Below are 27,705 nucleotides of genomic sequence, written 5' to 3' on the forward strand. Positions count from 1 at the left end.
CACCACACCAGGCCTGATTTTTCTTCTGTGAGGATTTTTAACAGTCATTTTTAGTGCATATATATTTACCTTAGATTATAAATTCCTTAAGGAACTTTACATTATCAAAACATATATGCGGTCGGGCGCAGTGGCTCACACCTGTAATCCCAGCACTTTGGGAGGCCAAGGCAGGCGGATCACAAGGTCAGGAGTTCGAGACCAGCCTGGCCAACATAGTGAAACCCCGTCTCTACTAAAAATACAAAAACATTAGCTGGGCGTGGTGGTGCACGCCTGAAATCCCAAATACTTGGGAGGCTGAGGCAAGGAAATCACTTGAACCTGGGAGGCGGAGGCCACAGTGAGCCGAGATTGCGCCACTGCAATCCAGCCTGGGTGACAGTGCAAGACTCTATCTCAAAAAAAAAAAAAACAAAACACATGCCTGTAATCCCAGCACTTCAGGAGGCCAAGGAGGGAGGATCACTTGAGGTCAGGGGTTCAAGACCAGCCTGGGCAACATAGTGAAACCGCGTCTCAAAAAAAATTAAAATAAAATAAAGATTAAAACAACAACAACAAAATATACACGCTGTTGGTCATCATTTACCTCAAAGGATCTATCTCCTGTCTACATGATACATTCCGCCCTAAGAAGATAAACTGCTAAGTTACAACTTCAGTATATATCATTCTCTTAAACCTGACCGATGGGCACTTAAAAGGCCTGGATATTAAGCAAAGCAAAGGCTTACAGCAACAATCTAGATGGACTGTTTAGCTGTTATTAGCCACTGCTGAATTGCCTAGTGCTTCCTTCTTCTCAAGAATGTCTTGCTCCACTGCTTAACACATCAGTTAACTGCTGGAAAAACCTTCCTAGGAGCCAGGACTGCAGATGACACGGTCCTCTGAGGTGCTTTCAACTTTTAGAATCACCATTCTACTGGAATTGCTAGGTTGAGAAAATTATTTTCCCCTTACTCTTATAGAATTGTTATCACAAATTTATTTGAAAGGGAACACAATGACAATTACCTCTTACATCAAACAAGTATACAAAGAGCGTATTTTAGATTTAAAGATCTTTCTAGCCGGGCGCAGTGGCTCATGCCTGTAATCCCAGCACTTTGGGAGGCTGAGGCGGGCAGGATCACCTGAGGTCAGGAGCTCGAGACCAGCCTGGCCAACGTAGCAAAACCCCGTCTCTATTAAAAATACAGAAGAATTACCCGGGGGTGGTGGCACGCATGCCTGTAATCCCAGCTACCCTGGAGGCTGAGGCATGAGAATCGCTTGAACACAGTAGGTGGAGACTGCAGTGAGCGGAGATCACGCCACTGTACTCCAGCGTGGGCTACACAATGAGGCTATCTCTCTAAAAAGTATCTTTTTTAATTTTTTTGGCATTAATTGTTTATACATACTTTGCTCAACACCCAAAACTATTCTTGAAAAAAAAAAAAGAATCTCATGACACACACCGACATTAGTTGTAACTTCGTATCTTCTATAAGCTATGGGCCTGGGTGACACAAGGAGACTCTGTCTTTAAAAAAAAAAAAAATCTTTCTAGAAGGCAAAAGTCTTGAGGGTAAGCCATGAATTAAATACCCACTGCTTCAATTTTACACTTTTGTTTGTTTGTTTTTTTGGAGACAGCATCTCCCTCTGTTGCCCAGGCTGGAGTGCCGTGGCACGATCTCGGCTCACCGCAACCTCCACCGCCCGGGTTCAAGCGATTTTCCTGCCTCAGGCTCCTGAGTAGCTGGGATTACAGGTGCACAACACCATGCCCAGCTAATTTTTTTTTTTTTTTTTTTTTTTTGAGACGGAGTGTCGCTGTTGTCCAGGCTGCAGTGCAGTGGCACAATCTCGGCTCACTGCAGGCTCCGCCCCCCGGGGTTCATGCCATTCTCCTGCCTCAGCCTCCCGAGTAGCTGGGACTACAGGCGCCCACCACCTCGCCTGGCTAATTTTTTGTATTTTTAGTAGAGACGGGGTTTCACTGTGTTAGCCAGGATGGTCTCGATCTCCTGACCTCGTGATCCACCAGCCTCGGCCTCCCAAAGTGCTGGGATTACAGGCGTGAGCCACCGCGCCTGGCCACGCCCAGCTAATTTTTAAAAATATTTTTAGCAGAGACGGGGTTTCACTATGTTGGCCAGGCTGGTCTTGAACTCTTGGCCTCAAATGATCCACCCGCCTCGGCCTCCCAAAGTGTTGGGATTATAGTAGTTAGCCACTGTGCCCAGCCCAGTTTTATACTTTTAACTCTAAAAGTGTTCCATGAGGGCAATGATCAGTTCAAAGGTGATATACTATTACACACTCACATACAATAATAAGATATACATGGTATAAACAGGGTCTGGTAAAGTAACTCTCCATATTCAGTTAGTTCTGCAAGAATGTGAAATACGGCCGGGTGCGGTGGCTCATGCCTGTAATCCCAGCACTTTGGCAGGCTGAGGCAGGCGGATCACCTGAGGCCAGGACTTCAACACCAGCCTGACCAACATAGAGAAACCCTGTCTCTACTAAAAATACAAAATTAGCCAGGCGTAGTGGCACATGCCTGTAATCCCAGCTACACGAGAGGCTGAGGCAGGAGAATCGCTTGAACCCGGGAGGCGGTGAGCCAAGATCGTGCCATTGCACTCCAGCATGGGCAACAAGAGCGAAACTCCACCTCGGAAAAAAAAACAAAAGACGAAAAAAAAAAAAACAATGTGAAATACTCTTAGGTAGAAGATGTTTCTGCATTCAAAACTTTAAAACAATATAGACTCATATCTGGGAATACACACGTTATTAAATATTGTGAAAGCGGTGGGGAGGGATGGGATGAGATAGAGAAAGAATATGTCAGCGCTTTAAAAATGTTTTGGGGCTGGGTGCGGTGGCTCATGCCTGTAATCCCAGCACTTTGGGATGCCGAGGAGGGACAGCCTTTAAGCCCAGGAGTTGAAGGCCAGCCTAGGCAACAAGGTAAGACCTCATCTCTACTAAAAAAACAAAACAAACAAACAAAAAAAAAAACGTGCCTATGATCCCAGCTACTCAGGAAGCTAAGGCAGGAGGATCACTTGAGCCATGATCGCGCCACTGCATTCTAGCCTGGGCAAGAGAGAGGCTCTGCCTCAAAAAAATAATAACAATAATAACGTTTTGGGCTGGGTGCAGTGGCTCATGCCTGTAATTCCAGTGCTTTCGGAGCCCAAGGTTAAGAGGATCACTTGAGGCCAGGAGTTTGAGATCAACATAGCAAGACCCCATCTCTACAAAAATAAAAATAAAAATTAGCCAGGCATGTGCCTATAGTCCTAGCTACTTGAGAGGCTGAGGTACTTGAGCTCAGGAGTTTGAACCTGCAGTGAGCTATGATCACACCACTGCACTCCAGCGTGGGCTACACAATGAAGCTATGTCTCTAAAAAAAAATCTTTTTAAATTTTTTTTGGCATTAATTGTTTATACATACTTTGCTAAACACCCAAAACTGTTCTTGAAAAAAAAAAAATGAATCTCATGACACACACCGACATTAGCTGTAACTTCCTATCTTCTATAAGCTGAGTAAAAAAGTTAATCATTACTAAAAAAAAACCATAAACCCCAAATTGTAGGAAACACCTGGAAAATTTACAAACCTATGGTCCAGCAATTCGCTAAATAAATCTGGGGGCACATTTTGAAGGAAATTTTCCAGTATCCCAGGATAGATGGAACTGGATCTAGTCTGGCTAAGTTAGACTGGCTTAGTTATATTAGCCTTTTGAAGAATATCTGTATTATCTGACAATAATGTTCATGATTTGGTATTAGGTATAAAAGAGTTACAAAAAAGAATGAAGTTTTGGAAGGGTCTTCAGAGAAAAATGAGTGGGAGATGACTCTTCCCAATTCAGAGTATTCTACTGTAATACTTCTTTTCCAGCATCACTTGGCACAATTCAACCACTCAGCTACTTAACAAAACTGTATGAGGCCGGGCGTGGTGGCTCATCCTTGTAATTCCAACACTTCGGGAGGCCAAGGCGGGCGGATCACTGGAGATCAGGAGTTCAAGACCAGCCTGGGAAACATAGCGCAACCCTGTCTCTACTAAAAATACAAAAAAATCAGTGGGGTGTGGTGGCGGGTGCCCGTGATCCTAGCTACTCAAGAGGCTGAGGCAGGAGAATCGCTTGAACCCTGGAGGCAGAGGTTGCAGAGATCGAGTCACTGCACTCAGGCTTGGGTGACAGAGTGAGACCCTGTCTCAAAAAATAAATAAAAAGAAAAAAAACTGAGAGGCAGTAGCACAAAAAATGTTTTATATTTTACAGAGTTCTAGTTTACGTTGTTCCATGGATTCACTGGGTTCTATTATTGTTTTTCCGTGTTCCCATCTTTGTAACATCGTACTAACCTTCATAACATGTAAATACTGCTGAACCTCAATCCCAATAAACTACTAAAGGATTTTTAACATCATACGTTTTGTTTTGCAATGTATTTTTGAAACACATCAAATTTAAATTTTCTTTCCTTTCCATCCTTCTACTGGGCAAGTTTCATATCCTGAATTCCTCATGTAGAACTCTAGAAGGAATTCCATTCCACCTGCGGAAGGACACCTAGTTTACGTATTTGACCTACAGAAAAATTTCTCTGCAACTCTTTCAAATGCTAGTAAAAAACTCCACCCAGTCAGCCTCCCACAACCCCTCCCTTTAACCATCTTCTCCTCCCCACTATCGCCACCCTACCTTGTGCATTCCTTCGTAAACTTACTTCTCATCACCTTCAAGGTTCCACTCCCCTCTTGCCTACATCTGTTTTCATATCCTCCCACTCCCCCAATTCCTGCCAAGAAGCCCCGCTAGCTGCCTGTTGCATAACGGCTCCCCCATTCCGTCTCCCTCGGCAGTCGGCCCCGCTCCCGGGAGCAGGAATGCCCCTTTCGGCCCGGCCCCTCCTCCCTTCCGCAACACGCCCAGCAAGTCCCCGCGACGCAGCTCCAGCGGGGATTCTCTCTCCAAGCTGGGCGGGTCGTCCTTGCCGGCTGGCACCTCGGGTAGCGAGCCCCGAGGGCAGAGGAGCCGGCTCCACCCGGCCTGGCCCCGAACCCTCCGCGGCGCCGGCCAATCGCCGCTGCCATCCTCCCGCTGGGGTGATGTCTTCAGGTGTCCGGGAGGGGAGAAAGCCCTGCGTACTTCCAGCCCCGCTCCTGTGCCAGGAACCGGCGGCCCTCCGAGCCCTCCGGAGCCGGCCTCCGGGCCCCGAGCGCGGCGAGGCAAGCAGGGGCGGCGAAGGGTCCGGGTGGGCGGCGGCTACCCGCAGCCCAAAGGCGTGGGCCTGCGAGGCGGGCGGCGCGCGGCCAGGGATGGGCAGCAGCGGGGTACCGAGGCGCCGAGGCCTGGACGCGGGCGCGGCGCGGAGGCCTCGGCGTCCCCAGCCGGGTGTGGGGCGGCCGACTGACTGACGCCGGGCGGGGGCCGCCGACTGCCTCAGCCACTGCGCGGGGCGGGGGCGGCAGCGGCCTCTAGCCTCCCTCGTTCCCTCCCTAGTCCGCTTGCCCGCTCGCCCGCTCGCTCGCTCGCTGGTCCATCCGCCTCCTCACCTTCAGGACCCGGATCCCTCCCGGCCGGCGGCTCGCGGGCGCTTCGGGCGGCTCCGGGGGCTCCAGCGGGCCCGCGGGCCCCGGCTCCACCTCCCCCATCGGCGACCCAGGATTCACAGAGACGCCCGGCCCGCGCGACGGCGTGCGGAGCCTCGGCGGCGCGCGCGAGCAACCGGTGGCCCCGCCCCCCGCGGCCCGCCGGCTCCGCCCCTCCGGCGGCTCGCCAGCTCCGCCCCTCCCGCAGCCCCGCTGGACCTAAGCAGCTGCCGGCGCCGAGTGGCCCGGGCGCCACCGAGCCGCATTCCGGCCGCGGCCCGCGTGGCGGAACCTGGCACCACCGCAGAGCGCTGGGCCTCCACTGCCCGCCGCCCTAGGCTTGGAGGACTAGAGCGCAAGGAGGGGTATTTGCTGCTTTCCCCGCCCTCTAAGAAACCCGCGGGAGAAAGAAGCAGGTGGCGCCGGCACCTGTCAATTGTGACAAGACGCTGCCCTCCGCCAGGGTGGCTCTTGTAACTTCCCTCACCTGCCAAGCCGTTGAACGAACTGTTGAGAATACTCACCTTGGCAAGGCCTTTTCTCTTCCTTATCAGAGATGCGTGCGACCTTCTTAAGCAAATTCAACCCAACCTCGTACAAAACGTCCGCTCACCTCCCAGCCATGTTTTAATTCCCTTGCCTCCTCCTGGAGCAAAATTATCAGAATTCGGTGCTCTGCTTCAAGCAGTAATATGGCCTGTGACCCGGTTTATGATTTATTTGCAAGGCTGATTCAGAAAAAAACTTTTAAAAGTTAACTTCTTTTCTTTTCTTTGTTTTGTTTTTCTTTTCGTTCTCGCAGTGATAGTAGTTTTGTTGCCAATGGGCCAAATTTGGAGTCAGCCAGCCTGTTTCCAGATCTCCCCTCTGCCCTTCTTTAGATCTATACCCCTGTGCAAGTTACTTGATCTAAGCCTTTCGTTCTTAAGCTGTGAGAAAGAGATTAAAATCTGCCAAGTAGTTATGATGAAGATTTAGTGCATACAAAGTGCCTAACGTATAGTGGGGATCCATAGTAGCCATTATAATTCCAAAATTCTAAATTGAAGATCCAATCGGTTTCTCGAAAAGTACTCTGTCGATTCCTCCTAAATTTTCCTAGGAAGGCTTCTAGACTTCCAGATTTTTAGGGCTTCCCCTCATACATAGGGTGTTGAATCTTCAAGCAACTTGTAAGGAATTAGACAGCAAAAAACAGTAATTTCTTCACTTTCATAGAACTGTAATTCCAGTACTTTGGGAAGCCAAGGCAGGCAGATTACTTGAGGCCAGGAGTCCGAGACCAGCCTGACCAACATAGCGAAACCCTGTCTATACCAAAAATACAAAAAAATGAGCTGGGCAGGGTGGCGCACGCCTGTAATCCCAGCCACTTGGGAGGTGGAGGCAGGAGAATCGCTTGAACCCGGGAGGCGGAGGTTGCAGTGAGACGAGATCGTGCCACTGCACTCCAGCCTGGGTGACAAAGCAGGACCCTTTGTCCCTATTATCCATTGCTTCAGTTTGCCTCATTCAGACTAACTGTATGTCTAGAATAATTGCAGGCTTAGTACAAGACTTTTAGATTTAACAGAGCAGTCTGTGTCCCCCATCTGAGATATGTATCCATTTGGAGATATTTTAAATGCCAGGACCAAATTTGGCTCTTGCAGGTTCCGACCCCTTTCTGACCTACTTTCTCCCTTCACAAGTTAGCTTTGTATATACCAAAATTCCAATCTCCAGTAATCTTCATTTCTTGGCCTCATTTTAATGCATTAAAAACGATTTGTCACTGTGAGTCTGGTTTAAGGTGGGAGAAAACTCTTAGGTCATCCACCTCCTGGATTTTCCTTCCACCTTGAAATTATTTTCAGGAAAGGTACTCAAAGTAGTTGGATTCCCATTTCAGTGCTTACTGGGTAATTTCTCCCAACAAGAAAACTGGTATATAAGCAATAGGCACCAATATGGAGACAGAAGCAAATTTTAACAAGGGCAGGCAAGCAGTGATAAGAAAAAAATGTGGTTTAGAACAAGTGTTTCTGGCTGGGTGCAGTGGCTCATGCCTGTAATTCAGCACTTTGGGAGGCCAAGACGGGCAGATCACCTGAGGTCAGGAGTTTGAACCCAGCCTGGCCAACATGGCAAAACCCCATCTCTACTAAAAATACAAAAATTAGGCAGTGTGGGGGCACGAGCCTGTAGGCCCAGCTACTCAGGAGGCTGAGGCAGGAGAATCACTTGAACTTGGGAGGTGGAGGTTGCAGTGAGCCGAGATATCGCGCCACTGCACTGCAGTCTGGGTGACAGAGGGAGACTCTTGTCTCAAGGAAAAAAAAAAGTGTTTTTCAAAAGCCTTTTATATTTTTTTTATTTTTGAGACAGGGTCTCGCTTTGTTGCTCAGGCTGGAGTACGGTATGGACACAATCATAGCTCACTGCAGGTTCAACCTCCATGGGCTAAGGTGATCATGCCACCTCAGCCTCCCAGTAGCTGGGACCACAAGTGAGCACCACCCTACGCTTGGCTACTTTTTGCATTTTTTTTGTAGAGATGGGGCTTCACCATATTGTCCAAGCTGGTCTCGAACTCCTGAGCTCAAGCCATCCGCCCACTTCAGCCTCCCAAAATGCTGGGATTACAGGTGTGAGCCACCACACCTGGCTGTAAGAGTCTGTTTCTTGAGGCATTATACATTACCTTTTCCAGATTTCATGAGTAGAAGCTCTTTATTGACTGACTACACAAAAAGGAAAGATCTTGTTGCAGAACTAAAGTTTCAGCTCATGCTGGGGAACAGCAGTGGTGAATAATTGTTTAATTAAAGGGATAGTAGGCATAAGCATTGCTATTTACTTCTTCATTCTGGCAACAGTAGTTCCTCTTTCAAAAGGGAAAACATAAAAAAAAAAACCCATCCGCCCAAAAGTTTCAGGGGCTAATTTATGATGTAACTACCTTTAATGGTTCCCATGATTTAAGATCCAATTCAGTAGTGACAACCAGTTGATTTTTTTCAAATCATGTAGTGCCATTAACATTTTATACTTTGTTTCAAAGGTCACATATTGATGTTCTCCCCCAGTTCAAGGCACTGTGCATTATGTATGCCAAGGGTTATGTAACTACAATTTCTGGAAATGGTAAACAGCTGAGACTAACCCTAAAAATAAATTCCTCTGGGATTTTTTTTGTGCGAAAATCCATCTGCCCTCACTGCAGGTTCATCATTACAAAAATCACTGTTTAGCTCAAACCAAGAGACAGAGAAGTCATCATGATCTCTCCTTTCTGTCTCCTTCCTGTAGCAGCTGTGCTTCCCCTCTCTGGTATGTACACACGCACACACCTTCTTTATGCCAGGAGCTTTTCCAGATCTTCACTACAAAATGGGAAGTCTGGAGAAGGGAAGCTCATGCCTATCAGATGTTGGGAGAGGAAGCAGATGAGACTTATATTTACTTATTTATATCTAGTACGCACTCCAGTGATCCACAAAGTCATCTTTGGGCCTAAATCCCTTGTTATTCTACCAATAGGTTAAGCAGATTTGGATATTCCTAATTTTGGTTCCAAATAAACAGGCAGTGTTTACCTAGCTTCAAAGTTTGGAGAATTTTTCTGTGAACATTTTGATATTTTTCAAATATGGGGACAATTGAATTGACAATTGAAGACATAGGATAGAAAACCCTTAAAAGTGATAAAAATTAATTTGGTGCTTCTGAATTGAAATTCAGATCTGAATACTATTTGTTGTATTGTTAAATGTCTATTACTGGCTAAACTTTTCTATTTTCCTCTAATTACATGAAGGTGCCAACTAAATTTAATATTAGAAACAACTATGAATTTTAACTAACTCATACATAAGATTATAGAAATGTTGCTTATCAAACAGTACCAAAGGGCACTTCTGCATAAACTAGATAACTGCCAGGGCCTACACCCTTCCCCTTTTCAATCGGGACTATCACACTCTCCCCTTTCTCAATCAAGGGACTGTCAGGGATCATCAGAATAACAGAAAACCTAAAGCTACCAACCTCCAAAACACAGAGTTGACAGCCAGGCACAGTGACTCACGCCTGTAATCCCAGAACTTTGGGAGGCAGAGGCTAGTGGATCACTTGAGCCCAGGAGTTTGAGACTAGCTTGGGCAACATAGTGAGACCCTGTCTCTACCAAAGGAAAAAAAAAAATACAAAAATTAGCCAGGCATGGTGGTGCATGCCAGTAGTCCCAGCTACTAGAACGGCTGAGGTGGGAGGACTGCCTGAACCAGGGCAGTCAAAGCTGAAGTGATCAGTGACCGCACCACTGCACTCCAGCTGGGTGACACAGCGAGACTCTGTCTTAAAAAAAGACAAGCCAGGTGCGGTGGCTTACGCCTGTAATCCCCGCACTTTGGGAAGTTGAGGCAAGAGGATTGCTTGAGGCCAAGAGTTCAAGACCAGCCTAGGCAACATAGCAAGACCACATCCCTACAAAAGTTAATATATACAAAATACACAGTTCATATAAAATAGACCATGAAATATAACTCATTTTGACTGGTCAAGCCTTCCTCTGCCCAGTCACAGATACACTTGAAAAATTCACAAAAAGCAGCTTATAAAGAAAACCCATAACCACCCTTAATATACATTTCATCTTGGTTTCTCTGCCTTGAGAATTGACCTATGGAGATTAAGCATGAAATTAATCATATTATAGTTAAAATGTCCAATTGCACTTAGGACTTTTTTACTGTCTATAACACAAGTTTGTTGTTGTTGTTGTTTTTGAGATGAAGTTTCACTCTTGTCACCCCAGGCTGGAGTGCAATGGCGTGATCTCGGCTCACTGTAACCTCCGCTTCCTGTGGTCAAGCAATTCTCCTGCCTCAGCCTCCCGAGTAGCTGGGATTACAGGCATGCGCCACCACACGTGGCTGATTTTGTATTTTTAGTAGAGACAGGGATTCTCCATGTTGGTCAGGCTGGTCTCTAACTCCCAACCTCAGGTGATCCGCCCACCTCGGCCTCCCAAAGTGCTGGGATTACAGGCGTGAGCCACCGCGCCTGGCTACAAGTTTTTAAGTGATTCAAATTCCTCTCTTGGTGAGACTTATGTGTGAAAGGAATACTAACAGGTCAGTAAGTTAGCTCAACCTCTGGAATAAGAATTCATCTAAGTCTTCTAATCCAATTGTAAGAAGCAAGGAAGCAAATTTTAAATCATTGGGTATTGACTTTTTATTATTAGTCACTGTTCATAATTTGTTTCAACCAAAAGACAGTACACACAGCAGAATTCTAATGCATCCCATGTAAATGTTTACATCCATTTTATTCCTCACTCGCCTCTAAGACTTATCATTTAACTTTAAATTTTTTTTTTTACATCTCAAAAATATGTCTGCAATAATTAGAGCTTCATTAGCTGTCCCACTTGGAAACAGCTTTTTAATATTTTTACAGTAAAGAAGATGTGATGGGGCATAATGAAAATGTAACTTACAACACTAAGAAAGAAAAGGGCCTTTATAGGAACACAGTGGGAGTTCATAAAGGAAAGAGTTCAGAAGCTCTTTCCCATGGGGCCCCCAAATGGAAAACAAAAACAAAACACACAAAGCGCAACCGCAGGTTCTTTGAGGGAAGAAAAAAAAAAAAAAAAAAACCAACTCCAAGGCTCCATCTTGAAGCCAGAATCAGCCTCTTGGAAGTCTGTAAAGCAACTGTGCAAGCTGCTTCGGCATTTCCTTCTGTTAAAGTGTTCCAGGTCCTGGAACCCTGTCGATGGGACCCACTCACTGATATTGCTTGAAAAAGTTATTCACTTCCAGTTCTACAAGCAGCCCCACTCTCCCGAGCCAAAGCTGGTCAAAAGTGTTTTAAACTTCAGGACTTTCTGTGCAATTCTCTCTCCAATGATCCTACCCACTCCCAAAGTCATGAATACACAGACATGTAAAACCACTCTCCCAACTACAAAGTTCATGAACACCCACTTTTTCCTCTCTAGTTTTCTCAGTTTAGGACACTGTGGTTAAAATACATTCACTAGAAAAAAATAGACACATTCAAACTCCTTTCCCCTAGTTCTCATGGCCCAAATATTTTCCAATGCAGAAGATAATGAAGTTGAACCTTGAAAGCAGTACTCCCTAACTTCCAATTTCTACGACATAAAAAAAATGGGAAGCATGTTATATAAACCATTAGTGTTGGACAGTTTTAAAAGTCTATTTTCATATATGAATGGGACAAACAAGGAGTACAAATCACACCTTTAAACTAGCAAGAGGAAAGAATCCCCTCCCAAATGTTACACTGAGGAATGTTTCTTTAAATGATAAAGACCTTAAAATTAACAGATGATCACTATGCACAGCCTAAAACTTCCGTGACTGTCCAAACCACCTCAAGGTAACAGCACCAAAGCACTGTGGGAGAAGCTTCTCAGGGAGAGCACCCTTCCTACAGTTTTTTGAGATTACTTAGATGAATTAATTCTCCTTTAGGATTCCCCGGGATGGGGCAGAAACTAGAATAGAAACGACTCTTGAAGAGGGAAATAATGAAGTACAAGTGCATGTGAAATTGTCAAAGTAAGTGTGTGAGGGCTCACTGCTTATCACCCCAGGGTTATCAAAACAGCCTTGGAAAATGCTCTTTCCTCACAATGCCTGTGAAGTCGTAAATCCATCCAAATTTGCTCCCCCTTGAGTGGTTATACTCGGGAAAGGAATTATTGAAATGTGCAAGTATTCAAAGAAATTGAAACATTTCTCCATTTAGCTGCAAGGCCAAGTGAGAGGAAAACTAATTCTGATCCTAGAAACTAAGGCACGCTGAAGCTTTCAAAGATCCAATCATTTGAAACAGTCTTCACAACCATCAGTATCCTAGGCAGTTATTTGGCTGCTAGTCCTTCAGTATGGTGCTTGTGTTCTGATTCCAAAATCAATTCATATTCTACGCAGCACCCTTTGTGTTAAGGCCATGATATTTTACTCCTTCTAGACAAAGCTATGAATGATCATAAACTCTACCTCGAAACTATGATCACCCAAGGAAATGCTCTGTCAGCAGAGTAGACCCTTCCCAGCTCCATTAGCTGACAGTGTCTTATAGCATGGTCTTGAACAGATTTCTTCAGAGATTCAACCCAGTTCAAATAAAAAAACCTGAGCTGGTTAGCTACAAATATAAGAGAGAAAATAAAGCCTCTACACAAAGAGGAATGTTAAGACAAATTCTATTCAAGAAATCCACCAACATTATGTTAATCCTATCATGTTTCACAGCATTAAGTATCCATCCAATGAAATCAGTCTGCAAAGAAACCCTTAAAGGCTATTTTTCATTGCACAGGCAGAGCAGTTGTCTGAAATATGCACTAGTCCACACTTACATTACTGAAAACTATGCAGGAGATATTATCCTGTTCTTGACTCAGTCAACCATTTACCCAGTGGAGTAAGTTTTAGCAGATCTTGCTCATACACACTAGTAAGACCAGAAACTTTCCCGTGGAGCCTTTAGTTCAACTCCAGTTTGTCAAATGTTAGGAATATTCCAGCATCTGATACAGAGCTAGATTTGACAAGACACTGAAGATTTTAAGTAAAGGCTTGGTGAAATGAAGGGGAAAAAAAGGGATATTTGTTTCCAGGTTTAAGATTGAAGCCATAGTAGTCATTATACTGTATTCAATACAGTAACAATTGCAAACATTGTAAGAGCAAGGTGGGCCTCACTTTTTCTTTCTTCAGTATATAAGACATGGCGCCTGAATACTTGAACATACATAGTACATTCAATGTGTACCACAGAGAGAGTCACCTCTACTTCATTCCAGCAACTCAATTTCAAAGTTTGATAACATATGGGTCCTTTCTAAAAAGCACTTGGCACTCTCACTAGTTTAAAAAGCTCAAGTCTTTGATGTGAATATTCATGAGATTCGTCTTTTAAAAGAGACCAATTTCTCAGACTGAGGAAAGGCTATTCCTACCCTATGGTGTCCGTAAGACCTCCTCTGACATAGGGGTATGGAAGCTACAAGGCTTCACTCCAACACCATAAAGTACAATATGGAAAGATTTCTTTAACCGTGTGGTCTTTATTTCAGTGCCAGTGTTACAGATACAACACAAATGTTCCAGTTAGAAGGAATTCAAACGGAATGCCAAGGTCCAAGCCAGGCTCAAGAAATAAAAAGGGAGGTTTGGAGTAATAGATAAGATGACTCCAATACTCACTCTTCCTAAGGGCAAAGGTACTTTTGATACAGAGTCTGATCTTTGAAACTGGTGAACTCCTCTTCCACCCATTACCATAGTTCAAACAGGCAAGTTATGGGCTTAGGAGCACTTTAAAATTTGTGGTGGGAATAGGGTCATTAATAACTATGAATATATCTTTTAGAAGGTGACCATTTTGCACTTTAAAGGGAATCAATTTTGAAAATCATGGAGACTATTCATGACTACAGCTAAAGAATGGCGAGAAAGGGGAGCTGGAAGAGCCTTGGAAGTTTCTATTACAAATAGAGCACCATATCCTTCATGCCAAATCTCAACAAAAGCTCTTTTTAACTCCATCTGTCCAGTGTTTACAAATAAACTCGCAAGGTCTGACCAGTTCTTGGTAACAAACATACATGTGTGTGTCTGTGTGTATACAGCAATGCACAGAAAAGGCTACCAGGAGCCTAATGCCTCTTTCAAACATTGGGGGAACCAGTAGAAAAAGGCAGGGCTCCCTAATGTCCATTATTACATTTCCATTCCGAATGCCAGATGTTAAAAGTGCCTGAAGATGGTAACCCAGCTAGTGAGGAATAAATACCCCACCTTGCCCAGTCCACAGAGAAACAACAGTAGAAAGAAGGGGCAACTCTTTGCTGCAGAGACAAAGTGAGTGTTTTTTCGCCATGGATTGCAGTCCTCTCCTCCAGACCAGCTGCTTATTTCCTCAGGGGCCCAGGGAATGTTGATTCTGGCTGTAAATGTGGGAGGGGTGGAGAAGTGCGGAAAAAGGAGAAGAGGAAGAGTGCAAAGTAGCCTCCAGAAGCAGCCAGCCTCAACAGTGGAGGAGAGGACATTAGTCTTTAACAATGCTTCAAGGTCAGCAGTAACTTTAGGAAAATCCTCCTCAGCAGTTCTCTTCAGCTCCTCATGCCCGTGGTACAGTTGGGGGGGACTTGCCAGCAATCACAACCTCCTTCCCAGAGTTCCTTTGATTGAGTGGGATAAAGAATGAGAATGGTGCCAAACCCTCATTGCCAGGACTGAGGGGGAAAGTTGTTCACCTCTGCTAGATCTTGCATTGCTGAGCCCTTGTGATTATATGTAAGCTTGATCCGCATTCGCAGCTGTTGCTATAAGAGGAAAAGAGAAGTGCAAATTATATACTGAAATGAAATCTCCAGAATCTGTCCGGTCCACAAATAGACTTTTAATCTTAGAGGTCAAAACTTAAAGCAAAGCTGTCTGTTAAGAATGACAGGTAAACAACAACAAAAAACACCCAGTACTCTAGGCTTGAGCCAAGAAGCTAACAATGTCATGCCACCAAGTTGAGAAAGCGCATCTGCAGAATACACGGTTAGCTTTAATCCTTGAACTGCATTAAAAGGACAGAACTCCTTGGGAGCATTTTTTCTTTTCTTTTCTTTTGAAACAGGGTTTTGTTCTTATTGCCCAGGCTGGAGTGCAGTGGCACAATCTTGGCTCACCGCCACACCAGACTAATATTTTTATTTTTAGTAGAGACGGGGTTTCACCATGTTGGCCAGGCTGGTCTTCAACTCCTGACCTCAGATAATACACCCACCTCAGCCTCCTAAAATGCTGGCATTACAGGCGTGAGCCACCATGGAGCATTCTCCTAGTAACATTTTGCTGAGTCCTTTTCAAAAAGATTCAAACCTTGTATCCAAGTCTCTTAAAAAATGAGGTGAACATATACTCATCGTACGCTCTCCATTCAGATACACTGTTGCTTTATCTGAAAAACCTACAGTAAATGTGAACATGACCTTTTGTTCCTAAAGCATAAAATTTTAAAAAATGACTTAACTCACAGGTAACAGCAGTAGTTTTAAGAGAACTCAATTAGACACTTTTTGTATGGCAGATTTCAAATACAAATGCACTAAGACATTTTTTACTCTCTGTATCAGATGGTCAAAGGAGTTTGTGCTTGTACTATAGAGGCCGATGCTCAAAATATAGTGAATAGCAGAGGAAAGGCAAGTGTTACAAGAGAAAGAAAGTATACTGTTACTTATGAGCAACTAGTAGAGCTCTATTAAAGAAATTCTCTGAACCATTTTCAAAAACTGAAAACCAACTGATTACTATTAAGGTGAGCTTATTTCTTTGAGAAGAGATAATAAAAATATTGCTTAATTTCAGTTTCTAAAGCTATTTTTCATTTGGCTGCTTCATTTAAAATGCCTCTATTTTTCTATTCATACTTAATAACTGTAGCAGTAAATGTAGGTATTTGGTTTCAACAAATGCTCTTACCTCAGATTTCAACTTGTGTATAAATTAAAATGTCTAAGCTTCTCCCCTACCCCCAAAAACCAGACCTTTAATCTAGCTTTTTTTGAAGTTGCATTTTAATAAGATGCCACTAAGCCACCTGATGTCTCTGGGTTCCATTTGTTATTTACAAAAGAGCAAGGAAGTTAGACCAGGCATTTTCATTGATCTCTTCTCTAACTATGAGTCAGAAAAACCTAAAGAAACAAAGCAGAATTTTATTTCGGGAAATATGCTTACACTTCGGCTCAGATATTGGCTACAAATGTGCTACTCACCTTCTGAGGGTTCAGAACTTTAATGACTTGTGTGATGGTCCCCGTGTTAAATGCTGGGACAATGCTGCTGCTAGGAGACAAGAGCTGCAGCTGGAATGTCTAGGGGGGAACAAAGGGCACTCTTCAGAAAAAGAATTACACAACGCTAGGTCAGAGATACCAAAAACCATTTAGACACCCAGATGATGGGTCAAGCAACAGATTTCACTACTACTAAGTTTTGCCTACTACTTGTTTTCTAGATATCAGGAATTCACAGCACGTGAGTTGACTCCCTGTGGTATTTGTAAAAATCCACTGTTCGGTTCTTTGATCATGACAACTAGTAATAAACCACATTCTCCTTTCTGGCAGAAGGAATTCTAGCCTACCTCTTTTCAAAAGCTGACCAATTCTTCTTCTGGCAACTTCACTTAATGGTAACTGATCAACTATGCAAGTAAAATATCGGTGCTTTTGGCTTAAAAAACAGCCAGAAAGAAATGAAAAGAAAAGCTTCCCAAAAATAGCAAACCAACATACTGGTCACCAACTATAAGCTTTTAGGCTTTTGTGTGATTGGATAACTGGGATGCAGAGACTTGAACTTTTGTTTTTTAAAGCCTGCATAATCTATAATGTGTCAGAGCCTCCTCTCCACATGACAGAAGGAACGGAAAGACTTGCAGAACCAGCCTATACAGCAAAAGACCTAGATAAGCCAAACAGTATTAATTTGTTGAATGCTGGTGGGGTTTATTTGCTTGCTTATAGAAATAAGAGTTGAAAGTGCTGGCTGGGTGTGGTGGCTCAAGCCTGTAATCCCAGCACTTTGGGAGGTCAAGGCGAGCGGATCACGAGGTCAGGAGTTCGAGACCAGCCTGGCCAACACAGTGAAACCCCGTCTCTACTAAAAATACAAAAATTAGCTGGGCATGGTGGCACATGCCTGTAGTCCCAGCTACTCGGGAGGCTGAGGCAGGAGAATCGCTTGAACCCAGGAGGTTGTGGTGAGCCGAGACTGTGCCACTGCACTCCAGCCTGGGCAACAGAGCAAGACTCCGTCTCAAAAAAAAAAAAAAAGTGCTATATAGGGCAAGCTAGGTAAACCATACTGTACTACGTAGCTATTGTATGAACTAGCATTTGAAAATCTTTCCTAAAAGTAGATTAAACTTCTAAAATATTTGAGAGAGAGAGACACTAGTCTTCTCTAGGGCCAAAAGTTGCAAGAGTGAAGATTCACTCTCAATGTACAGATATATTACACTGGGGGCTGGGCACGGTATTCCCAGCACTTTGGGAGGCCAAGGCGGGCAGATCACCTGAGGTCAGGAGATCTAGATTAGTCTGGTCAACATGGCAAAACCCCATCTCTACTAAAAATACAAAAATTAGCTGGGTATGGTGGCGCATGCCTGTAATCCCAGCTACTCAGGAGGCTGAGGCAAGAGATTTGCTTGAACCCAGGAGGCAGAGGTTGCCTGGGTGACAGAGTGAGACTCCATCTCAAAAAAAAAAAAAAAAAAAATATATATATATATATATATATATATATATGGTCTTATTCATAATTCTGCCACATTAAAATTATGTAAGCTAAAGTATTATTCATTACTACCATATTTCATTAAATGTAAGATACCAATCGTAATTCACACCATTATTTTATGTACCACTGAGATAGAAAACATGCTGCCCACTGAATTATGACAAGATACCAATTTTTAAATGTATCCTAATTTTAGAAACATTAAAACACGAAATTAGTACATAGTAGAACCTATAAAATATGACTTTTTTTTTTTTTTTAGATGGAGTCTCGCTCTGTCGCCCAGGCTGGAGTGCAGTGGTGCGATCTCGGCTCACTGCAAGCTCCATCTCCCAGGTTCATGCCATTCTCCTGCCTCAGCCTCCTGAGTAGCTGGGACTACAGGCGCCCGCCACCACGCCCGGCTAATTTATTATTTATTTATTTATTTATTTATTTATTTATTTATTTATTTATTTATTTTTTGAGACGAGTCTCGCTCTGTTGCCCAGGCTGGAGTCCAGTGGGGTGATCTCGGCTCACTGCAAGCTCCACCTCCCGGGCTCACGCCATTCTCCCGCCTCAGCCTCCCAAGTAGCTGACACTACAGGCGCCCGCCACCACGCCCGGCTAATTTTTTTTTTTTTTTTTTTTTTAGTAGAGACGGGGTTTCACCGTGTTAGCCAGGATGGTCTCAATCTCCTGACCTCGTGGGATCCGCCTGCCTCGGCCTCCCAAAGTGCTGGGATTACAGGCGTGAGCCACCGCGCCCAGCAAAATATGACATTTTAAGTTGAAAATACATTATCATGTTGCACTGTACAGTACACCACCAAAAATGTCATGTTTTAATAGCAGAAGTGATAAGTCACTAGAGCAGCAGCCTAAAGTAACAAGTATAAAACCTAAGTTGAAGAAACTAAATATACTGAGCACTGAACAGATGAAAAGTGCTTCAAACAGTGCCTGATTCAAAAAACTTATTTATTCCTTTAAGCAACCTTAGGAAGTGGCTATCATTATCACCACCCTCTTTGCAAATGAAGACACTGAGGCATAGAGGTTCAGTGACTTTCTTCATGTCATACAACTACTACTAAAATCCAAACAGAATGGCTCTAGAGTTCATTAGTGGTCTTTCACCAATTGACACTACTGCTCCCCTTTTTTTTCTTCTTTTTTTTGGACAGCGTCTCACTCTATCACCCAGGCTAAAGTGCAGTGGCATGATCTTGGCTAACTGCAACTTCCACCTCCTGGGTTCAAGTGAGTCTCCCACCTCAGCCTCCTGAGTAGCTGGGACCACAGGCACGCACCATTGCACCTGGCTAATTTTTTGTATTTTTGGTAAAGATGGTGTTTCACCATGTTGCTGAGGCTGGTCTCAAACTCCTGAGCTCAAGCGATCCACCCGCCTCAGCCTCCCAAATTGCTGGGATTACAGGCGTGAGATACCGTGTCCAGCTAACTGCTTCTTAAACATCTAAATTATTCTGGCTCCTACAAAGTGTAAGCAAAGAGGGTTGCATGAGAGTCAGAGGATGGGGAAAAAATAAAAAAAGACTGCAAAGTCAGCAGTACCCACAAACAAAGAAAACATCCTCAATTTCCAAGTCCAAGTGTGTTGTCGGAATGTCTAAATGCCATATTTCACATGCCACTGCCAAGATTAGGTTAGCTTAGTCTAAACCAGTGGTTGGCAAACTATGGCCCACTGGCCAAGAATCGCCCAACATCTGATTTTGCAAATAACATTTTATTGGAACAGAACTATGTTCATTCATTTACATGTCATCTACAGCTGTTTCTGTACTATAAGAGCAGAACTGAGTACCAATAAAGACCAGATAGCAGCCTAAAATACTTACTGTCTCATCTTTTTAAGAAAAACTACCCACTCCTCATTCTCAACTTTTCTTTATTTAGAACTCTTTGTTTGTTTGTTTTGAGATGGAGTCTCGCTCTGTCACCCAGGCTGGAGTGCAGTGGCATAATCTGAGCTCACTGCATCCTCAGCCTCCTGGGTTCAAGCAATTCTCCTGCCTCATCAGCCTCCCGAGTAACTGGGATTAGAGGAACCTGCCATCACGCCCGGCTAATTTTTTTTTTTTTTTGTACTTTTAGTAGAGACGGGAGTTTCACCATGTTGGCCAGGTTCTCGAACTCCTGATCTCAAGTGATCTGCCTGCCTCAGCCTCCCAAAGTACTGGGATTACAGCCGTGAGCCACTGCACCCGGCCTCAAGATTTTTCACTATTCATAAATGAACATAAATATCCTTAAACTAAAATTTGGTGTAAACCAAACCTTGATTCACAAAAACAGTTACTGTATCTATAATAAATTGGATGTTAACGAAGGAGGAATGTTTCTCTCATTTATGTATCAAGAGAGAAAAAATTTCAATTCTGATCTGGTTAACTAGAAGATAATACCAGATAGACAAAGTCTCTCATCTTACTTAACTTTAATCCTATGCCATATTTTATGTTTTTAGGTCTTTAACACTGTATTACTAAAGCCTAACCTATCCTCAATGCCCTGAGCATTAACTGATCACCTCGTAGAATTCTGCTCTCACTACTATTAGAATTGTTTTTCTTTATCCTACAATGCTAACCATCAGAATACTTGTAACCTAGTAAAAATTATTCACTAAAAATGATATGCTTCCATGAACCATAAGCTACATTATTGTTAGTTTGAATTAAGTCTACAAATTTAATCTGTAAACATTAAAACATATCCTTTACCAAACACATGAAAAAAAAAAGCCAGCCAATCTTTAATCAAAGGAAACATCTAAAGAAGACATTGTAGTACCTTTGGTACTGCAGCTTGGAAAACAAAGTCCGTCATATCTAGCTCTGTGCTGTTGGAGGCCTGTATCGTTATCACTGTTACACTGGGGTTGGTATTTGACCGTTCAAAGGTGAATTCTATCTTCAAGCCATTCTTACTGTATGCTGTGATGGAGGGGATGCCTGAGAAAGTACAGGAAGATAAGTCTTATTGTAGTCAGCCTAATGCTTGCAGAATTATTACTTCTTTTTCTTAATAACCACATCTCATTACTCAGTGCTCCATGTAATGATGGTAACAACAGTCATCGTACCTGCAGCAATATCATTGAAGAGAGGCTGTGATGAAAGCCCATCCAACAAGAAGGGGGGCTGGGATATCTGTGGGACTGAGGCAGGGGCAGGAGCAGCAGCTGGAGCACCTAAAGGAAATATTTTAATGGAAAGTTAACCTTAGGCAGCATGACAAAGCTTACCAAGAAATTATAGGGAAAATTATTTCGGTCTCAGGTTAAGGAAAGATTCCTTAAACAAGATGCAAAAAGCATAGACCACAAAGAGAAAGAACTAAAAACTCAAGTACTTTAAAACGAGCAACTTCTGTTTATTAAAAAATACTGTAAGAAAAAGTACAGTCTGAGCAACATGGCGAGACCCTGTCTCTACAAAAAAAAATACAAAAATTAGCCAGGCATGGTGGTGTGCGCCTGTAGTCCCAGCTACTTGGGAGACTGCAGTGGGAGGATCACTGGAGCCTGGAAAGTTGAGGCTACAGTGAGCTTGCACCACTGTACTCCAGCCTGGGGGACAGAGCGAGACTCTGTCGCAAAAAAAAAAAAAAAAGTAAAGAGAGAGAGCCCACAGACAGGAGAAAATGTTTGCTATACAGTAATGAATGGATAAGTATCCAAACGATAACTGTCTTCTATAAAACCAATAAGAAACAGATAACCCAATTTAAAAGTGTCAAGATATAAAAACACGCAAGTCACAAAAGAGGAAACCTGAATGAAAAGGGAATCTTACAAACAGATGCTCAATTTTACCAGTAATGATGGAAGTGGAATTTAAAATTATAGTGAGATACTACCTCATGTCTACCAGAATGGTGAAAATTTCGATGTCTGATAATTCCAGATGTTGGCAAGAAGATGGAACGATGGGAAATTTTAAGCTCTGCTATAGGAAGGTAAACTGGCACAACCAATCTAGAGAGTAATTTGGCAACAGTAGAGTTGAACATCAGTATATCCTTAAACTGAGGTTTCTCAACCTTGACAGTAATAGCTTTTAGGCTTCCTAATTCTTTGTTGTAGGGGGCTGCCTTGTTTATTGTAGGATATTAAGTAGCACCCCTGGGCTTTTATGCATTAGACGGTAGCATCCTCCCAGTTGTAACAACCAAAAATATCTTCAGACACTGCCAACCCCTGGAGGGCAAAATCTTCCCCAGTTGAGAACCGATTACCCCTTCTTAGGAATGCTTTTAATTAATCCTTGCATGTGTTCACTGGGAGATACATCCAAAAGCATTCATAGCAGGAACACTCCTAATGGTGAAATACTGGAAACAACCAAAATGTCTGTCATCTTGATAATGAATAAGTAAACTGATATATTGATATACTAAAATACTACACATGTACAACAGTAAAAAGTGAATTCACTAGAAATACACTTAACATGGATTATTCATAACTCATTCTCACAATTACAATGTTTAGCAAAAAAAGGTGCAAAAAAGAACACATTCAGTTGGATACCTTGTCTAAAAAGGTAAAAATTGGCAAAATAATACTACATACTATATCAAGAAATGCACAGGAATGGCAAACACCAATGTTAAACACTACTTTAGGATAGACAGTAGTTACGTCTGGAATCAAAAAGAAATGGGATGAGAGGGAAATACACAAAGAACATCAACCCTCTTAATATTTTATTTTACAAACTAGGTAGATCAAAACATTCATTAAATTTTGTAGATGTTAAATGCTGTATAATAAAATTTTCACACACACACACGCACCCTGTGAGGGGTGGTATAAAGTGGGGTGGGAAAAAGAAATAGATTACCATTCTTATTTAATCTTTCCAAATAAGAACAACTTGACAATCATACAATAGAAGATAATTCATAGAACATGAGGGATATCAAGATTCGAAGAAGAAGCATAAGGAAATTCAGTAAAATTAAGAGAATGTATTTAATATTTAAATAGATTTCAAACTACTTGTGAAATTAACTGAAAATATGCCATTTAAAAAAGAACTATCACAATGAAATAAAGGAAGGCTAGAATATCATCTTTTTTTAAGAAATTGACAGCAAGAATGAGGGGGAAAAAAGATACTAAAGAATACTAGAAAAGTAAATGACAGGCTGGGCGCGATGGCTCATGCCTGTAATCCCAGCACTTTGGGAGGTCGAGGCGGGTGGATCACCTGAGGTCAGGAGTTTGAGACCAGCCTGGCCAACACAGCGAAACCCTATCTCTACTAAAAATACAAAAATTAGCCGGGTGTGGTGGCACGCGCCTATAGTCCCAGCCACTCGGGAGGCTGAGGCAGGAGAATCGCTTGAATCTGGGAGGCAAAGGTTGCAGTGAGCCAAGATCACACCATTGCACTCCAGCCTGGGTGACAGAGCAAGACACCATCTCAAAAACAAAAACAAGTAAATGACATATTAAAAATTAGCAAAGAGAATAGAAATACGGATGGCTAAGCAAGCACGAGAAGCTAAAATAAATGCAAACACCATTTGTGCAGTCCAGCAGATTATCAATGAAGCAGACAAAGAAATATTCATACAGTTCTCCTAGTCTAAAAAATCAAATCGAGAAAATTTCCCCCAATTCCCATTTTCAAAACAATTTTAGAAATGTGTTCTCATGGAAAATCAGAGGCTACTCAAGATACAGGCAGCATATAGGTCCCCAACTCCCTCAAATTTTCACTTTTCTTTGTCCTGTAAAAGTATAGCAAGGTAGTTTAGGAGAAGAGCAGAAACTTACTGCTCCAAACCCTTTAAAAACACATGTTAAATCTATTCTGAATTTCTACTGACTTAAATTTCTATATAATGGGGTAAAACTGTAATGATAAATTAAGAAATCTAGAATTCAAAATTTTAAAACTTAATGTAAAAAGTGGAAAAACATCTTTAAAACACATTATGAATAAGGCAAGAAAACCCAGACTTTTTAACATTTTATCATTTTGCTTTAACATATAACACTAGGAAAACAAGACAGTAGGAACAAAAAGAAAAGACTCCACAATAAATGAGCTAAGGATACAGGAATGTTCAGAAAGGAACCTCATCTATAATACAAATATGTGAATAAATATTAAACATTCTCTGTGATCAAAAAATAATAGGGCCTCTCTCTGCTGACCAAGCCTGGCAGAGGGCTACAAAATTTAAAAAATAATAATAAAAATAAAATATAATAGGACCAAATTTTCACCCAATAGGGCTTTTTAAAATGATAATATACAATGCTTATGACTGTGCGGTTAAACATATAAATTGAGGAAAAGGTAAATAATATTTACCAAGTGCCTACTATGTATCATGCACTGAATAGGTCAATGGGCCTCACAAATATCTTATGGAGTAAGTATTAATCATCCTAATTTTAACCAGATTCAGAAAGACTAAGTCACTTAGTCTAACAAATTAATCTAAAATAAGAACAAATTGATGTAATATTTGTTGAGGCCGCTAGGTAAGAAAAATCTAGAAACAAAATACCCCATACTGGCTGGGTGCGGTGACTCATGCCTGTAATCCCAGCACTTTGGGAGGCCAAGGCGGGAGGATCATTTGAGGTCAGGAGTTCAAGACCAGCCTGGCCAACATGGTGAAACCCCATCTCTAATAAAAAAATACAAAAATTAGCTGGGCATGGTGGCACGTGCCTATAAATCCCAGCTACTCGGGAGGCTGAGGCAGGAGAATCACTTGAACCCGGGAGGCAGAGGTTGCAGTGAGCCGAGATCGTGCTGTTGCACTCCAGCCCGGGCAACAAAGCAAGATTCCGTTTCAAAAAAACCAAAAAAAAAAGCCAAACTACCCAATACTAACGAACTGAGTAAACAGAGCAAATTTGTTGATAAAGTATTAGTCACCTAAAATTATAATTATGAAGGCTATATATATTAACATGGAAATACTAACATATTAGGTGAAGTATATGCTATGGTTTAACTGTGGGGTTGTTTTTTCTTTGCCGGTTATCCAGTACAGCTTTGACATTTGAGGATTTGAAATTGACCATTTGTAAATGATTCATAAGTACATGACAAGTAACATTTTGAAATTTTGTTAAGACACAGACATAAATCCTATACTCTGTGACTCCACTGTATTAGGAAAAAAAAAAATCAGCCTGTGGGAATGAGCTTAGCTAACCATCCAACTTGTTATCCTATGTCTATTTTTTACTCAAGGTCATGTGTGCTTTAACTCTTCATTATCCTCTTAAAGAAGACAGCAAAACCCCGTCTCTACTAAAAATACAAAAAATTAGCCGGGCATGGTGGCATTCGCCTATAATCCCAGCTACTCAGGAGGCTGAGGCAGGAGGCTCACTTGAACGCAGGAGGCAGAGGTTGAAGTGAGCCGAGATAATCCCACTGCACTCCAGCCTGGCTGACAGAGTGAGACTCTGTCTCAAAAAAAAAAAAAAAAAGACACTTTAACCTTTCAGCTATACTTTACACTGAAATTTAGGATAGAAGTTGTAGGCCAGGCGTGGTGGCTCACACCTGTAATCCCAGCACTTTGGGAGGCTGAGGTGGGTGGATCACGAGGTCGGGACCAACCTGGCCTACATGGTGAAACCCTGTCTCTCCTAAAACTACAAAAATTAGCCAGGCGCAGTAGCAGGCGCCTGTAATCCCAGCTATTCAGGAGGCTGAGGCAGGAGACCTGCTTGAACCCAGGTTGCAGAGGCTGCAGTGAGCCGAGATCATGCTACTGCACTCCAGCCTGGGTGACAGAGTGAGACTCTGTCTCAAAAAAAAAAAAAAAAAGGCCAGGCGAAGTGGCTCACGCCTGTAATCCCAGCACTTTGGGAGGCCGAGGCAGGGGGATCATGAGGTCAGGAGTTCAGGACCAGCCTGACGAACATGGAGAAACCCCATCTCTACTAAAAATACGAAAATTAGCCAGGGCATGGTGGTGCGTGCCTGTGATCCCAGCTACTCAGGAGGCTGAGGCAGAAGAATCGCTTGAACCCGGGAGGCGGAGGTTGCAGTGAGTCGAGATCGTGCCACTGCACTCCAGCCTGTGCAACAGAGCAAGACTCCATCTCAAAATAAAAATAAAAGTTGTATTGGACTCGGGTTTATCATATTGCTGAACATGTCAATTACAAATGACTGGTATATATGAACAGAAGAAAAAATATTCCCAAATGAAAAGTTATGTTTGAATATTATGAGTGATTGCCCTTCAGTTGCTTTAATTACAGAAAGTGTGAAAGGGAAGAGGTAAGTAGCAGGTTAACATCTCTCCACAAATGGCCACAGCTACTGAAAACTAACCATTAGTGGGAAGGAACCAAGAAGAAGTCATGTCTTGGGACACTAAAAGCAAAGGTGATACGGGATATATTTTTTGAGCTTGAAAGAGAAAGTGTGTTTTTTTTTTTTTTTTTTTGGAGACAGAGTCTTGCTCTGTCACCCAGGCTGCAGTACACACTGGCGCGATCTCGGCTCACTGCAACCTCCGTCTCTCAGGTTCAAGCGATTCTCCTGCCTCAGCCTCCGGAGTAGCTGGGATTATAGGCATGCACCACTTCACCCGGCTAATTGTTGTATTTTTAGTAGAGATGGCGTTTCACCATGTTGGCCAGGCTGGTCTAGAACTCCTGACCTCAGGTGATCCACCTGCCTCTGCCTCCCAAAGTGCTGGGATTACAGGCATGAGCCACTGCGCCCAGCCAGGAAAAGTAGTTTCTATCTTAAAACACTATGAATAATTTATTCACCCAAAATTAGGAGTTTGCCTTTAAGAAATCCGTATAAATTATCTTTAGAGCATTATTAGTATACAACATATAACCCGGATATTGTGAAGATTTGACTCTTGCTTCTGATTTAGCCTCTCCCATCTTCAAATGATTCACGTGCTGGAAAGTCTGGGTTCAGTTTAGTTTTTCCCTGAGGCCTCTATCTTTTCCCAGGTATTAAATAGCTCCAGACTGCCTCACCTGTAAGGTTGATGTCTCCCAGCAAATCAAGAAGTTCTCCACCAGCAGAAGATGGTTTGCTTGTAGGCGCAGTTGGAATAACAGGTGTTATGTCATTTCCTCCCAACAAATCCAATAAATCATTGGCCTAAACAAGGTAACAACACCTCAATTCATTATTATTTGATTTGTCTAGTATACATCTAATGCAAAGCTCTTTCAATATGTAAAAATAAGGAAGGAAATCATCAACCAACCCAGGAACATTAAAGGGACTCAGCTAAGAGACAAGCTGTAAGGGACTATAAAATCGTAAGAAGCCCCAGATGAGCAAGTGAAAGGCTGGCTACCTGGCTGGTGGGCTGTGGCCCAGAGGGTGGCGGTTTGGTCTCTAGTGGAGCTGGTTCTGTCTCTCCATTTGTCTGCACAATCTCAGTAGGGCCATTTGTGGTCACTTTTTCCATGACAGGCATTCTCTCAAGTAGGGCAGACCTAGAAGAATCTGAAGTGGTTAAATTCTAGGCAGTTAACCTAGATTCCCTACCCAAAATAATCACCATTAACTATGTTGAGCCCAAGCATGGAGATCTATCTCCCCTCCCCATCCAACACACACACTAAAATAGAAGGTAGATTACAAGAATACATGACCTAAATTCCTGGCTGGATTAAGGGCAGACAAAAAAATCTTGAATAAACAGACTGCCCAGCTAAATCCCAAAGCATATATTTCAGTGGTAGAGAGACTGAGATGAAAGAAA

The 27,705-nt window shown here is 42.8% G+C and overlaps 2 protein-coding genes across 3 annotated transcripts in view, besides 4 other annotated features; both read right to left on the minus strand.

Annotated features, from left to right (window-relative positions):
- The window catches only part of PHLPP2 (PH domain and leucine rich repeat protein phosphatase 2), a 79,778-nt gene extending 73,255 nt beyond the window's left edge, over window positions 1-6,523 (minus strand). The window contains exon 1 of the mRNA NM_015020.3: window positions 6,151-6,523. The gene's annotated coding sequence lies outside the window, so the exon portion shown is untranslated. The remainder of the gene's footprint in view (window positions 1-6,150) is intronic.
- Window positions 4,860-5,361: an enhancer, noted in NCBI's record as "H3K27ac hESC enhancer chr16:71756941-71757442 (GRCh37/hg19 assembly coordinates)". NCBI's record gives its function as "activates a minimal SCP1, AML or CMV promoter by ChIP-STARR-seq in primed H9 embryonic stem cells {active_cell/tissue: H9 hESC(primed)}" and the evidence as "EXISTENCE:reporter gene assay evidence [ECO:0000049][PMID:30033119]".
- Window positions 4,860-6,096: a biological region, named in NCBI's record as "H3K27ac hESC enhancer GRCh37_chr16:71756941-71757442".
- Window positions 5,127-6,096: a silencer, noted in NCBI's record as "silent region_7683". NCBI's record gives its function as "represses an Ori minimal core promoter by ATAC-STARR-seq in GM12878 lymphoblastoid cells {active_cell/tissue: GM12878}" and the evidence as "EXISTENCE:reporter gene assay evidence [ECO:0000049][PMID:35858748]".
- Window positions 9,879-9,948: a silencer, noted in NCBI's record as "silent region_7684". NCBI's record gives its function as "represses an Ori minimal core promoter by ATAC-STARR-seq in GM12878 lymphoblastoid cells {active_cell/tissue: GM12878}" and the evidence as "EXISTENCE:reporter gene assay evidence [ECO:0000049][PMID:35858748]".
- Window positions 10,822-27,705, minus strand: part of AP1G1 (adaptor related protein complex 1 subunit gamma 1) — a 79,835-nt gene continuing 62,951 nt past the window's right edge. For both annotated transcript variants that reach the window (NM_001128.6, NM_001030007.2), the window contains 6 exons: window positions 27,295-27,436; window positions 26,966-27,092; window positions 21,056-21,163; window positions 20,764-20,924; window positions 16,431-16,529; window positions 10,822-14,981 (listed from right to left, as the gene is read on the minus strand). In NM_001128.6, coding sequence (NP_001119.3) covers window positions 14,880-14,981; window positions 16,431-16,529; window positions 20,764-20,924; window positions 21,056-21,163; window positions 26,966-27,092; window positions 27,295-27,436 — 739 coding nt within the window. In that variant the 3' untranslated portion in view covers window positions 10,822-14,879. The remainder of the gene's footprint in view (window positions 14,982-16,430; window positions 16,530-20,763; window positions 20,925-21,055; window positions 21,164-26,965; window positions 27,093-27,294; window positions 27,437-27,705) is intronic.

This window comes from Homo sapiens, chromosome 16 (assembly GCF_000001405.40).
Source record: "Homo sapiens chromosome 16, GRCh38.p14 Primary Assembly".
NCBI lineage: Eukaryota > Metazoa > Chordata > Mammalia > Primates > Hominidae > Homo > Homo sapiens.